Source organism: Homo sapiens, chromosome 7 (assembly GCF_000001405.40).
Source record: "Homo sapiens chromosome 7, GRCh38.p14 Primary Assembly".
Lineage (NCBI taxonomy): Eukaryota > Metazoa > Chordata > Mammalia > Primates > Hominidae > Homo > Homo sapiens.
The window spans coordinates 30,103,672-30,119,822 of NC_000007.14; the positions used below are offsets into that span (position 1 = coordinate 30,103,672).

The following is a 16,151-nucleotide window of genomic DNA, read 5'->3' on the forward strand; positions in this document are numbered from 1 at the left end:
AGATCACTTCAACAAATAGTGCTAGAACAACTGCTTATCTCTATGGAAAAGATAAACCTCAACCCCTACCTCACATCACACAGGTGAAATTTTTTGAGATAAATTATATAACTGAATGTAAAAGTGAAAATTTCGGATAAAGCTCCTACAAGGAAACATAGAGCATTATTTTTTAGGATACAAAAAGCACTATAAAGAAAAAAGTGACAAATTGGACTTCATCAAAACTAAAAACTTCACAAAAAATACAAGCCATAGATGAGAGACAGTATTCACAATACCTGCACATATGGCTGAGAAAAGCTTGTATCCAGACTCCTACAACTCAATAATAAAAAGACCAAAACAAATTATTTAAAAAATGCACAATGACTTGAACAGCTGTTTTATAAAAGACCACATACAAATGCCAGTAAAATATGAAAAAGGGTTCAATATCATTAGTCACCAGGGTAATGCAAAATAAAACTAAACTGAGATAGCACTATACATCCACTAGTTTGGTGAACATTAAAAGAACAAAAACAACAAACATTGGCAACTGGAATTACCATATGTTGCTAGTTGGAGTCTTAAATGGTATAACCACTTTGGAAATTGATCTGGTAATTTCTTTTAAACTCCATGACCCAGCAATAACGCTGCTAGGTATTTTTGCAAGATAAGGACTTTTTCCATAATAGCCCCAATGACCCATCTTCTCCTAGAAGATACATTCTGCCTATCTGTTGATAGGCAAACTGTGGTTTGTCTCTTCACTTTGCTAAGTGAACAGATAAACAAATTTTGGTGTGTGGAAACAATGGAATACCACTCAGCAATAACAAGGAGAAAACTACTGATAGACAATATCCAGCAGCTTAGATGAACCCCAGAAACATTATGATGAGCAAAAGAAGCCAGATACAAAATAGTGCATAGTGTCTTATTCCATTTATATGAAATTCCAAAACAGGCAAAAACTAATTTATGGGACAAGAAATCATAACATTGGTTGCCTGGGTTATTAGGATGGGTGTTGAGTGGTAAAGGTCACAACAGCTTTTTTTTTTTTTTTTTTTTTTTTTCTGAGGCAGAGTCTCATTTTGTTGCCCAGGCTGGAGTGCAGTGGCATGATCTTGGCTCACTGCAATCTCCACCTCCAGGGTTCAAGTGATTCTCGTGCCTCAGCCTTCCGAGTGGTTGGGACTACAGGTACATGCCACCACACCCAGCTAATTTTTGCATTTTTAGTAGAGATGGGGTTTCACCATATTGGCAAGGCTGGTCTCGAACTCCTGAACTCAGGTGATGATCCTCCTGTCTCAGCCTCCCAGAGTGCTGGGATTACAGGCATGAGCCACTGCGCCCAGCCTCACAACAGCTCTTTCTAGGGTGATGAGAATGATCTATATCTTGCTAGTGGTATGGGTTATATGCGTGGGCATTTGTCATAACTCATCAGACTGCCCACTTATAATCTGCTCATTTCCCAGTATGTAAATTATTTTAAAAGTTAAGAAAAACATGTTCTCAGGGGCCGAGTGTGGTGGCTCACTCCTGTAATTCTGGCACTTTGGGAAGCCTAGGTAAGTTCATCCCTTCAACCCAGTAGTTCAAGGCCAGCCTGGGCAACATGGTGAAACCCTATCTCTATAATTAAAAAAAAAAAAAAAAAAAAAAAAAAGCCATTCATGGTGGTATATGCCTATAGTTCCAGGTACTCAGGAGGCTGAAGTGGGAGGATCACTTGAGCCCAGGAGGTTGAGATTGCAGTGAGCTGTGATTGCACTACTGCATTCCTTTCTGGGAGACAGAGCGAAATCTTGTCTCAAAAAAGAAAAAAGTTATCAGGAATGACAGGATTAAAACAGCAAGTTGGCATTCCAATCCAGTTCAAATAGCCAGATCAAAACAGCAAGTTCAAGACTTGAAGAATGCCCACAAATCAGAAAATTCACAAAGAAATGATAGAAAACATACAAAGGATATGACTAGGTAACTCACAAATGAGGAAATACAAATGGCTAAAAGGGGTAGGCAGGGGCTGGTGAGCAGCATTTCATAAGTTTACCGGCCACTCAAGAGTTTTCCTCCAGGTATTGCTTGTTCATAGTTTATATCATTTTTCTCTTGGGTTGGTTATCTTTTTCTTTTCAACTATAGATACATTGGTTATATGAGTAGCAAATAGCTTTTCTTAGATGGTGGTTTGTATTTTCACTTTGTATGTCATTCTTTTGTTGTGTTTTAAATTTTAATTTAATCAAATGGAATCCACCTTTTGGTGATTAGTGCTTGTGTTTAGTTTAGAAACAGAATTCCCTATTCAAATATCACTAAACATTATGTGATATTTTTCCTAATAATTTTGTAGTTTTTTTCACCTTTAAGTCTTTAACATCTTTTTTTTTTTTTTTCTTTTTGAGGTGGAGTCTCGCTCTGTTGCTCAGGCTGGAGTGCAGTGGCACGATCTTGGTTCACTGCAACCACTGCCTCCCAGGTTTAAGAGATTCTCCTGCCTCAGCCTTCCCAGTAGCTGGGATTACAGGCGCATGCCACCACGGCCAGCTAATTTTTTTTTGTATTTTTAGTAGAGACGGGGTTTCACCATGTTGGCCAGACTGGTCTTGAACTCCTGACCTCAAATGATCTGTCTGCCTTGGCTTTCCAAAAGTGCTCGGATTATAGACATGAGCCACCATGCCTGGCCATCTTTAAGTCTTTAAACCATCTGGAAGTTGTGTATGGGATGTAATTTGGGTTAATTTTATCTTTTTCCTTATGAATAGCCACTTGTCTTGGAATCATTCAGGCTATTCTTTTCCTGTAATTTAATAGCAGCAGCACCATCATATATAAATGATTTTAACTCTAGGTCCTCTCTTCTATTCATTTGCCTAATTGTCTCTCTGGACCAATATCACACTATTAGGAGGTCTCAGGGTCTGCTGAGATTTGCCCCCTCCCCTGCACCTACAAATAAATGCAGTTGGCCCTCCATATCTGTGGGTTGCACTTAAATGGAGTCAGCCAACCCGGGATAAAAAGAATGTGGGCAAAAAAATTTCACGAAGTTCCAAAATGCAAAACTTGAATTTTTTCTGAGCCAAGTACTACGTTGAATGCACGCAAATGAAGTGATGTGTAGGTATTGTATTGGGCATTATAAGTAATTTATAAATGATTTAAAATGTACGGGAGGATGCGCATAGGTTACATGCAAATGCTGGTCCATTTTACATAAGGGACTTCTGAGCATCTTCAGATTTTGATACCTGCCAGGGTCCTGGAACTAATCCCCCACAGATACCAGGGTTTGACTATATAGTGTTTTCCTTTAAAATTGTGTTCGCTATTCTTGTTCCTTTAATCTTCTGTATGAATTTAAGGATCATCTTTTCTATTTTGAGAAATACCTTATTAGAATATTTATTGAAATTATACTGAATTTATAGACTGACTTTGGGAGAAATCGCTGTCACTACAAAATTTCATCTTCCTACCAATGAATATAGTTTATCTTTCTGCCTACTCCTATGTTCTTCAATAAAGTTTTACAATTTTGTTATAAAATACAAGGTACCTAGGAATAAATTTACAATTTTATTGTAAAACTTTTGTTTTACAATATTACTTCCACCTATTACTATGTTCTTCCATAAAGTTTTACAATAAAATTGTAAACTTATTCCTAGGTACCTTGTATTTTATTGCTGCCATTAAAGAATGTATCTTTTGGAAAATTACATTTTCTAATTTTTGTTGCTATTGAATTTGTTAATATACCTGTTTTGGATTCAACAACCTTGACAAACTCTTATTTGTAGTAGTTTATAGGTTCCTTTGTATTTCGTATTTTTTACTTTCTAATCTTTATAAATTTTATTTCTTTTTCTTGTCTTATATAAGCAAAAAGGTTTTATACAATGCTGAATAGAAGTGGCCATAGAAGATAATCTTATTGTGTTCCTAATCTGAAATGGAATGCTTTCAACATTTCATAATTACATACAATTTTTGCTATAGGTTCTTTGGTAGCTGCCATTTACCAGGCTAAATAAGTTGCTTTCTCCATCTAGTTTACTAGTGATATTAATTATGAAGCAATGTTTAATATTACAAAAAAATTTTCTAACTGGGCATGGTGGCTCATGCCTGTAATCCCAGTACTTTGGGAGGCCAAGGTGGGCAGATCACCTGAGGTCAGGAGTTCAAGACCAGCCTGACCAACATGGAGAAATCCCATCTCTCCTAAAGATACAGAAATTAGCTGGGTGTGGTGATGCATGCCTGTAATCCCAGCTACTCTGTAGGCTGAGGCAGGAGAATCACTTGAACCCAGGAGGCAGAGGTTGCAGTGAGCAGAGATCGCGCTATTGCACTCCAGCCTGGGCAAAAAGCAAAACTCCATCTCAAAAAAAAAAAAAAAAAAAAAAAAACCTACATTCATTGACATGATCATAAGGTTTCTTCCTTAAACCAACTAATATGGTAAATCTCATTAAGAGATTTTCTAACTTTAACCATCCTTGCATTCCTAGGTTGAATCCAATTTGGTAATGGTGTATTTTTAATAGACATTTCTGGAATCAGTTGCCTACTGTTTTATTTAGGATTTTTGCATCTATATTTAGAAATGAGATTGGGCTTTAATTTTTTCCTTCATATACCATCCTTATCTGATTTGCCATCAGAATTGTTATACTTTGTAAAATGAGGTGGGCAGTGTTCCCTCATTTTATATTCACTGGAACAGTTTGTTTTAGATAATGATTATCTGTTCTTCGAAGTCTGGGTATGACTGGTAAACCTTCTGGGTTTAATGGGTTTTATTTTTATCTTAATTTAATTTTATTTTTTTTAGTATGGAGGGTAGATTTTAAAACTCCCAATTCAAGTTATAAATCTAACCCAAAAAATGTATTTCTTCTTGAGTAGTTCTGTTAGGTTGTATATTTCTAAGAAACTGCAGTTTGTCTATGTTTTCAGTTTATTGATTATGGGTTTTAAGTAGAATTGTGCATAAATGACCCTGAGAACTTACTCTGTGCAGTCTGGACAAGATGCCTGCTAGGACTTGTTGCGCCTTCTCCTAGAGAGAGAGACTTCACCCAAGTTCAGCTTCCCACAGAACCAGTAGCTCCCTTCCTTTGTTCCTTTGGCAGGAGGGTCTGTGGCTTTCCACAGCACCCCAGGTGTGGGGCTTTCACAGCAACTCCAGTAAACAACAAGCAGTTAAATAGAAATAATTCATACTAAGCAGTCTGTATGCCTCCCACAAACAAAGTTAATTCTCATGGTGGCACTAGAAGAGCCTGGGGCTAGTGATACCCATGAAATGCAAACCCACTGAGGGTCTGGCTCATCACCCTGGTCCTGCCATGATCCTCCGTTCAACAATGGGAGGACAGCGATTACATATCAAATGGTAGTTTATATACCGTTAGTCATCTCTAATTGTTCACTCTCTCTCTTTCTCTCTCTCTATAAAGTGCACTAAAGGTATGTCATGGTTGTTTTCACTTTTATTTTGGAATAATTTTAGATGTATAAAAAAGTTGGAAAGTTAACACAGAATTCCCATATAACCTTCACCCAGTTTCGATAATGTTGACATTTCATATGACTATGTGCATTTGTTAAAAGAGATTAACATGGCTGGGCATGGTGGCTCACACCTGTAATCCCAGCACTTTGTGAGGCCTAGGCAGGTGGATGAGGTCAGGAGTTCGCGACTAGCCTGGCCAACATGGTGAAACCCTCTTTCTACAAAAAATACAAAAAATTAGCTGGGCGTGGTGGTGGATGCCTGTAATCCCAGCTACTCGGGAGGCTTAGGCAGGAGAAATGCTTGAACCCGGGAGGTGGAGGTTGCAGTCAGCCAAGATCGCGCCATTGCACTCCAGCCTGGGCAACGAGTGAAACTCTGTCTCAAAAAAAAAAAAAAAAAAAAAAAAAAAGAGAGAGAGATTAACATTGTGTAACTACAGACATTATTCAGATTTTCCTTTTTCTTTTTCTTTTTTTTTTTTTTTAAAGACAGAGTCTCACTTTGTCACCCAGGCTGGAGTGCAGTGGTACAATCACGCCTCACTGCAACCTTCGCCTCCCGGGCTCAAGCAATCCTTTCATCTTAGCCTTCCAAGTAGCTGGGACCACAGGCATGCACCACCATGCCTGGCTAATTTTTAAATTTTATGTAGAGATGGGTCTCAATCACCCAGGTTGGTCTCAAACTCCTGGGCTCAAGCAATTATTCACATTTCACCAGTTTTTTCACTAATAACTTTTTCCTGTTTTAGGATCCAGTACAAGATACCACATTGCTTTTAATGTCATCCTATTTAATTTTTTAAAACTCAATTGTATTGAGAAAAATTAACATATAAAATTTACCCACTTAGCATATATAATTCAGTGCCTTTCATTATATTTACAAGATTGTGTAGTCCTTACCATAATCTAAGTTTAGAATATTTGCATTACCCCCAAGAGCAACCCTGTACTTATTAAGCAGTCACCCCCCATTCCTCCCTCCTATGGCCCTAGGCAACTAATCTTTCTGTTTCTATTGATTTTCCTGTTCTGGACTTTTCATATAAATGGAATCATACAATGTGTGTGGTGTTTTATGTCTGGCTACTTTCACTTAGCACATTTTGCAGATTCATCCATAGTGTAGTATTTATTAGTACTTCGTTCCTTTATATTGCTGAATAGTATTCCATTGTATAGGTATATGGTGTTGTGTTGATCCATTCACCAGTTAATGAGCATTTGGACTGTTTCCATTTGGGGGTTATTATTAATAATGTTGCTAGAATATTTGTGTACCAGTCATCATGTGGATATATGTTTTCATTTCTCTTGGTATGTACCTAGGAGCACAATTGCTTATTGCTTGGTCATATGGTAACTGTGTTTAACATTTTGAGGAACTTCCGAAGTGTTTTCCAAAGTGGTTGCACTGTTTTACAGTCCAGCAGCAATATATAAGGGATTCAGTTTCTTTACATCCCCATCAACGCTTGTTATCATCTGCTTTTGTTTTTCCTTTTGTTTTTAATATAGCCATCCTAGTGAGTGCAAGTGTGAAGTAGATATCTCATCATGGTTTTGATTTGAGTTTTTCTTTTGGTTAATGATGTTGAGCATCTTTTCATGTGCTTATTAGCAATTTGTATATCTTCTTTAAAGAAATATCTATTCAAATTCTTTGCCCAACTTTAATTGTGGTGTTTTCTTATTTTGAGGTTGTTTTTTTTTTTTTTCACGGAGTCTCACTCTGTTGCCCAGACTGGAGTGCAGTGGCGCGATCTTGGCGCACTGCAACCTCTGCATCCTGGGCTCAAGCAATTCTCCTGCCTCAGCCCCCCGAGTAGCTGGGACTACAGGCACACACCACCATGCATGGCTAATTTTTGTATTTTTAGTAGAGACGGAGTTTCATCACATTGGCAGGCTGGTCTCAAATTCCTAACCTCAGGTGATCCACCCACCTCGGCCTCCCAAAGCACTGGATTACACGCATGAGCCATCACACCTGGACCTTATTTTGAGTTTTAAGAGTTCTTTATATATTCTGGATGCAAGTCCCTCTTCATGTATATGATTTTCAAATATTTTCAAATATTTGAAAATGTTTGTCAAAAATCAATTGACTATTAATATTAGCAGTTTATTATTGACACACTATCTTGATTTCTGTAACTTTGTAACAAGTTTTGAAATAAGAAAATGTAATTCTTCCAACTGTGATCTTTTTCTAGATTGTTTTGGCTATTCTGTGTCATCTTATTTTAAATTTTTTTCATTTAATCACTTTTGGTTTTGGGATTTTATTTGTTGTTTCTTAGTTTTCTATATCATTCATTTCTGTCTTATTTTTTAATTTTCTAGCTTCTACATTCTTGGGTTTGCATATTTGTTTTATAACTGTAAAAATGGACATTTATTTTATTACCATTAGGACTTTTTTTTTTTTGAGACAGGGTCTCGTTCTGTCATCTAGGCTGGAATAGTGTGGCAGAGTCATCACTCACTGTAACCTCCGCCTCTCAGGCTCAAGCAGTCCTCCCACCTCAGCCTACCAAGTAACTGGGACTACCGGTGCATGCCACCACACCCAGCTAATTTTGTATGGAATGATACATTTCTCCGAAATACCCTTGTAGTTAAGCAACACATGACTGTGTATAAGTATATATATTTTTTAAATCCATGAGTTTAAAAATAGACTCTCAGATATAAGACATAAAAAGCCAACCATATGCTGTTCACAATAGGCATGCTTAAAATCTAATGATCTAGAAAGACTAAAAACAATGGAATGGCAAAATAATTACCAGGCAAATATTAATTTTTAAAATTGATGGCACAGAATTTTATAGCCACAACAGAGGCCAGAACACAGTGTAATTATGTTGATATCAGACAAAAAAGACTTAAAAAGTATTTAGGGATAAAGAAAGTCACTGCAAAATGAAAACATGAACAATTCACTAGGAATATTCAACAGTTCTGATTTTCTGTGCAACAACTAACGGCATAATTGACAGAAAGAGATGGAAAAAATGAGCAAATTCACAGTCAGTATGGGGTAGACAAAAATAAAATATGAAAGGTTTGAACAAGACGATTTTCACGACTCAGCATATACCAAAAAAGTCAAGATTTTCTGACCACAATGTACTACAATTTGAAATTAGTTAACAAAAAGATAACTCCTTAAAAAAAAAAAACCTTAAAAATACTTCTAAATGATTCACATGTCAAAAAAATCATAAATGAAATGAGTACATACTTAGCACTAAAAGAGTGTGACTACAATACATAATAAAATCTGAGGGATGTAGCTAAAGCAGAACTTGAGTCATTTGTGGGTTTAACTGCACACATTCAAAAAGAAAAAAGTGGCCAGGCACGGTGGCTCATGCCTGTAGTCCCAGCTACTTGGGAAGCTGAGGTGGGAGGATAGCTTGAGGCTGGGAGGCAGAGGTTGCAGTGAGCGATGATTGTGCCACTGCACTCCAGCCTGGGTGACAGACCCAGACCCAGTCTGAAAAAAAAAAAAGCCCATCTCTATAAAAAATACAAAATTAGCCAGGTGTGGTGGCATGTACCTGTAGTCCCAGCTATTTGGGAGGCTGAGGAGGGAGGATCACTTGAGCCCAGGAGTTCAAGGCTACAGTGAGCTGTGATATACCACTGCACTCCAGTTGGGGCAACAGAATGAAACTCTGTCTCTTTAAAAAAAAAAAAAATTAACATATATGCTTGACTTAACAAGCCTAAAGTTTATCAGTATCTCTACCTTTCTCCTAAAATATACAAATAACCTTAGAACATTTTAACACCAGTCACTTGCCTCTTGTCTGACATGTTTTTGTCTTCTGATAGTTTTGTGCCTCCTTATGTCCCTCAAATTCATCATCATCATCATTACTATTAGCAGTAGGAGTGGTGTTTTCTACAGTCAGTGGTTGCTCTGGTTTACCCACATTTGCTATTTCTTTGGAGATCATTAGTTCTTGCTTTCTGCATCTTTCTTCTGGTTTTGATTTGCTCCTTCTGGAAGTAAAATGTTCCCATAGTAACATTTTCTGGAAGGGCCTATGAATGGTAAACTCAGTCTTTGCCTAAAAATGTCTTTTTTCTGCCTGACTTTTGAATTATAGTTTAGCTAGTTATAAAATTCTAGCTTATCAGTTATTTTCCCTCTATATTTTGAAGATATTTTTTCTGTTGTCTCTTGGCCTCTGACTATTGAGTACTGTGCTGTCAACTTATTTTTTGCTTCTTTATAGGTAGTCTGTCCTTTTTACCTCTGGTGGCATTTAGGATCTTCACTTTGTTTTGTGGTCTGCAGTTTCCCTATTATGTGTAGTGTAGATTTATTTTCATTTCTTATCTTTGGTCTCAGTGCATGCTTTTATTCTGCAGATTCTTTCCTTACAATTCTAGTAGAGTCTATGTTATTATCTCTTTGAATACTACCACCTCACTATTCTCCCTATTACTGTTTCTGGAATTTCTATTAAATACATATTGGACTATCTCATTCCTTAGGCCTCATAACCTCCTTTTAACATTTTCCATCACTTCATCATATTGCTGCACTTAGCACAATTTCCTCAGATGGGACTTCTAATTTACTAATTCTCCCTTCAACTTCTTTTCAGCTTACAAACTTTTAGTAGCTAGTTCTCATTTCTACACATTCTAATTTGTTTCTGTTCAAAATATTACTTTTTTTTTTTTTTTTTGAGACAGAGTCTCACCAATGCCCAGGCTGGAATGCAGGGGCACAATCTCAGCTCACTGCAACCTCTGCCTCCCAGGTTCAAGTGATTATCCTGCCTCACCCTCCCCAGTAGCTGAGATTACAGGTGCACACCACCATGACTGGCTAATTTTTGTATTTTTAATAGAGACAGGGTTTTGCCATGTTGGCCAGGCTGGTCTTGAACTCCTGACCTCATGTTATCTGCCCACCTCAGTCCCCCAAAGTGCTGGGATTACAGGAGTGAGACACACCTGCCCTACTTTTCTTTTTTTTGTTACAATAGTAGCTAAAACTTACTCTGTGCCAAGCATATGTGTACTCTTCTAATCACTTTACATATATTAACACACTTAATCCTTACAATAACCCATTGATATAGATACCATTAGTATACCTACTTTACAGATGAGGGACTTGAGGCACAGAAATATTAAGTGACACACCCAAGGTCACCCAGGTGGTGGTAGGTGATAGTGACGAGATTTGAACCCAGCACTTTAGCTTCAGTTTCTGCGCTCTTAGCTACCGTGCAACAGTGCCTCTCATGAGGTTTGTTCCGTTCTTGGTGTTTTAATTACATCTTTTAGGGCTTTAATAATTTTAAGCATGTTTATTTTACATTCCCTTTCCAATTGTCATTCTATTATATGAAGTTTTAGGGTATCTTTTAGTGCTATTTATTGTGTCTGCTGACTTTTAAGTCAGCAGGATTTTGTCCTCCTGCATTTCATTATTTGTGTTTGTGAGCTTATCTTTAAAGAAGGCTGTTTTTCTGTGAGAATCCCCGTGGCCTGGGTTGTAAATGTGTCCCTCAAGAGCAGTTTTGCATTTGCCACAGAAAGATCACCAGATGTGGAACTCTTTTTTGGCTGTTTATCATTTTGGGAGTCATTTATCATCATGGTTCCTGGACCATCTGCAAATTTGAACCTCCAAATTTGAGGTAGAAAAAGACCCTGAGAATTCATTTCTCAGAGGACATTTTTCCCCATCCAGACAGAGGCATATAAATTCTTTTTTGTCTCTCCGTGCCAGTGCATCGATGGTTCTCCTAATCTACTCTTTTCAGTGTGGGTGTAGCCTTTTAAAAACTGCTGCAGTTTTTTAACTAAGCCCAGCTGTGGCAGCATCCCACATCCTTACCACTCACTTCTCTCTTTGTTACTGACACACCTGGAGACTTCCTTTCTCTGTTGCCAGTTCATTCATGCATTTAAAATAATTTTTGCTGTATTTTGTCAAGCATTTTAAGGCAGTATGGCAGGAGAGTTTTCAGACTGTTTCCCCACATCTTCTTTTAAGAAAGTTAGGAGTCTCATTCCACCCTTTAAAAAAAGTATGATGTTAATTATTTTCTCTTGGTAAGCCTGATTTAAAAATTGGGGACATCCATAGAAGTGTTAGGAGGAAAATGCAAACTACTCATTGTACCACTACCTAAAAATGGCCATGTTTTAAATGTTTTCTCCTTTTTGTATTATATGTGTTTAGATATACATATATACATGTATATATGTATGCATATGTATACACACATGTATACGTGTATGTAGACATATGTATACATATGTACACATACACGTATACATGTAGACATATGTACACATGCACGTATACATGTAGACATATGTATACATGCACGTATACATGTAGACATGTATACATACATTTATACATGCACACATACATGTACACATACATGCACACATGTACACATACATGTATACGTGTATACATACGCACATACATGCATACACGTATACATGTATACATACGCGCATGCATGCATACACGTATACATGTATACATACGTGCACATACATGTATACACGTATGCATGCATACATACGTGCACATACATGTATACACGCATGCATGTATACATGCGTGCACATACATGTATACACGTATGCATACATACGTGCACATACATGTAGGCACGCATACATGCGTATACATGCATGTATACATGCATGCGTGCGTGTACATACATGTATACATGCACACATACGCATACATGCATGCATACATGTGCATGCATGCATGTATGCATACGCATACATACGCATACATACGCATACATACGTATACATACATGTGCGCATACGCATACATACGTATGCATACGTATACATGTATACATACGCATACATACGTATACATACGCATACATACACGTATACATGTGTATACATATGTATACATACGCATACATACACGTATACATGTGTATACATATGTATACATACGCATACATACACGTATACATGTATACATATGTATATACGTATACATGTATGCGTATACATGTACACGTATACATGCATACATGTATGTATGTATACATGTATGTATTCATACATGTATACATATATACATACACATATGTGTGTATGTATATATGTACTATATAACTTGATTCATGTGTGAATATCTGTTTACATGTGCGATTTTTCACCTAATAGTGTATTGTATTTTTCTTACATCATTAAAATTCATTAAAGAACAAACAACTGAAGAAAAACTTCTGCCTTAGAAGCTTAAGGATAAATGAGGGGCATCTTCTTGCATATATTTGATTAGCTGTTCTGCAAATCTACTCTTCTGCACCTAGCAACCTAGAAATAAAAAAGGGAATAGCTGCACTAAGAGCCCTAGAATCCTAATTAACATTGTGCCGCTGATAGATGCCTTACATTTAAAGCAAGATCATGTTGTTTCTCTCCCATATAAATGATTTTCATTGACTGTTCTGAATAACTTTATATTTCCGGTCTCCAATTTGCTGCAACTAAATCTTAGCTACTCCCCCATTCTGGCTTTCTTGTTGAAAATTGCTCTCTGAGCAAAACCTGGAATGTCTGAAGTCGTTCCCCAACACAGTTGCTAGAGATGGGCTGTGAAATAACAGAATTTAGCAGCAAGTCTCTCCACAGGCCAGTGTATAAAAAGGATCTGAAACCTAGGCTGGGAATGACAAGTATGCTAGAGGGAATGGCACTCCCCTGCCCGCCTTCCAAAAGCAGTTTGGCTTCAGGAGAGTGGGTGTGTGTTTCACTTGGTCTTGCAAATGTAGGTCTAACTTTGTCACCGCCTTTCCGTCTGCCTTCCAGCATCTGTGCCCAGTTGACGTAATGACTGTGGAAGGCAGATTGAACGTTATTAAGGAGACAGCCTGGAAATTGTGAGAGGCAGGCAGGGTCAAGGATAGAAAGCATTTTTGGGAGACTGGGGTTCTCAGCTCACAGTAATTGAGAAATCGATTCAAACTCATGCCATACAATGAAATTATATGTGTGTGTGCATTTCCTAGAAGTTACCCCATGGCCCTTCCCACTTAAGTTAGCACTATACAATGTCTTGGCCAAATGAATTTGAGTTCCAAGTTAGGTTCTTGAGACTTAAATTAGTTCCAAGTTAGTTTCTTAAAATTTGTAGTAGAAATAATAGCCTTAAAATGTAATTTATTAAAAATTAAATTTAGGGCCAGGCACGATGGTTCCTGCCTGTAAGCCTAGCACTTGGGGAGGCTGAGGTGGGAGGATTGCTTTAGCTCAGGAATTTGAGACCAGCCTGGGCAACATAGTGAGACCTTATCTCCACTAAAATAAAAAAATTAGCCAGGCATGTTGGCACACACCTGTAGTCCCAGATACTCAGGAGGCTGAGGCGAGAGGGTCACTTGAGCCCAGGAGTTCAAGGCTGCAGTGAGCCATGATCATGCCACTGTACTCCATCCAGCCTGTGTGACAGAGCAAGACCCCCCTCCAGAAAAAAATTAAAATCTTTAAAAAACAACAGTTTTGATTTACAACTGCCAGAATTTATGAGAAAAATAATTTTAAGTTTCAAAAGTTTAGTGTGCACACTAAAAAAATGAAGGCACAAAGCTTATGTTGCCAACAAGATATTAGAAACAGAAGTATAACTACACAACTCTACTTCCTGTAGATTAAAGATTGCCAAGACTTTATTCATATTTTTATTTTTTAAAAAATTTAAAAACTGAGACGTGGATTCATTTCTAACAGGGACACACAAATGTCTGATGGTGGCCCAGGAGGGCTGTCACTCAGAATCAGGCGGGTGCAGAGTGGCCTGCAGGACATGATGACCCAGCATGAGACAGGATGCATCACATCTGGGTGACGCCTCTCTCCAGGGGATCAGCCTGGACTAAATGCCTCTCCTGGGCCAGGATGCCCAGCAAGCCCCGAGATGCCTCCTGGAGAGAAGGAAGTATGTGAGAGTATCCTGAGTTAAGTGAGATCTAAAATGCCTGAGAAAACCCTGAAATGACTGAGTCTATCTGGAACTTATTTGATTGTTTTTCTGCCATCAGATAGAATGAGGTCTCAAAAGAGAAATTAAATTATATTACAAGAAAATAAAGCTCAATTGCTTGCCTATTTGAGTTTGTGGCCTGTGAAAATCTTGCCCACCAAACTACGAGAAGCAACATGAGGGGCTTTATAATAACTCTGCAGGTAGGTGGACAGCTCATGGAATCCAAGGGGAAAGGCATGGGCTGGGCTGAGAAAGGACTAGAACCAGGAGCTGAAAGCCATTGGGATCTTTTCTTAGCTGCCATGGCTGCTTCTTACTGCATATCTTTCTGTCTTCTCTCTCTGAGGCCCATCTTTCTTTTTTTTTTTTTGAGACGGAGTCTTGCTCTGTCGCCCAGGCTGGAGTGCAGTGGCGCGATCTCGGCTCACTGCAAGCTCCGCCTGCCGGGTTCATGCCATTCTCCTGCCTCAGCCTCCCCAGCAGCTGGGACTACAGGCGCCCGCCGCCACGCCTGGCTAATTTTTTGTATTTTTAGTAGAGACGGGGTTTCACCGTGTTAGCCAGGATGATCTCGATCTCCAGACCTTGTGATCCGCCCGTCTGAGGCCCATCTTTCTCCACGTCTCCCATTCATCTGACAGAATATAGTGGCATCAATGCCTAAGTTACGTGACACAGTTTTAGCCACATGCAGATTCTACCTTTCTGTATCTTGGCCTCATTCCCAAATTCTTGTACAAGAATCTGATTGGCCCACTTAAGTCCCATGTCTGTCTTCCTCCATTCAATCAATGGTGGCCTGAGGGGCATTGGCCCGTGGTACAGACATGACTGCTGTGGGTTCATCACCTCGGGTCAGGGGACAGTTCCCAGGGAATTGGAAATGGCTGTGAGCTGGGAGGGCACCCCAAAAGATGATGACTTCTGAGTCACTACGGGACCTATCCCTCACTTTTCCCATCTAGAAAATAGAAGGAATAATATCTGTAATATTCCTAATTTTAAGTGAAGGCAAAGGGAATTAACATGTATTGACTTCTTTCCATGTAGGAATCTGCATCCTGAAAACAACCCTAAGAGGTGGGCATTTTAATTTCCTCCTTTTTAGATGAGAAAATTGATGCATGCGGAGGTTAAATCTCATAGCTAGTACATGAAAGCTCAGATCTAAACCCAGACAGAACCTGTGCTGCAGCCCCGGAGGCAGCTGTTATTAAGATTGAGATAATGTCTCAAAGCCGTGCATTACATTCTCAGCTATTAAGAAACTGCCGAGGACAGTATCTTATATGTAGTAAATGCTCCGAATTGGAAGTCTCATTAATAAGAGCACTCTCCATTCAATTGCAGCAGAAGTCTTACCATCACAGTGTTTTGCTCACATTAATCCACCAAACACCTCTGGGAAGTGGGCACCCATCTCCTTTGGAGAGGTTTCTGCCAAGACACATTTTATTACAATGAAAAGGGAGATGAAAACAGCCGCTTATACCTGTTTTAACTGTAATTGACCTTCAGCCACCATTTTGCTGCATCAGATTCGAGAGCTTCTAAAGCTTCCACCCTGCTTCATGTTGAGGTGTGAATTTGTCACCTT

At 38.5% G+C, this 16,151-nt stretch overlaps 1 protein-coding gene across 6 annotated transcripts in view, besides 1 other annotated feature; it reads left to right on the forward strand.

Annotated features, from left to right (window-relative positions):
• Positions 1-16,151, forward strand: part of PLEKHA8 (pleckstrin homology domain containing A8) — a 102,072-nt gene that overhangs the window by 75,260 nt on the left and 10,661 nt on the right. For 3 of the 6 annotated variants that reach the window (NM_001350975.2, NM_001197027.2, XM_005249897.3), the window contains one exon: positions 14,299-14,676. The exons of 2 other annotated variants lie outside the window; for them this stretch is intronic. In NM_001350975.2, coding sequence (NP_001337904.1) covers positions 14,299-14,378 — 80 coding nt within the window. In that variant the 3' untranslated portion in view covers positions 14,379-14,676. Of the gene's footprint in view, positions 1-14,298; positions 14,677-16,151 lie in introns of those variants that run through there. One more of the 6 variants, NM_001363474.1, reaches the window with a different exon arrangement.
• Positions 7,139-7,325: a silencer, noted in NCBI's record as "fragment chr7:30150426-30150612 (GRCh37/hg19 assembly coordinates)". NCBI's record gives its function as "represses an EF-1alpha promoter that drives an FKBP-Casp9 reporter gene in an ReSE screen in K562 erythroleukemia cells {active_cell/tissue: K562}" and the evidence as "EXISTENCE:reporter gene assay evidence [ECO:0000049][PMID:32094911]".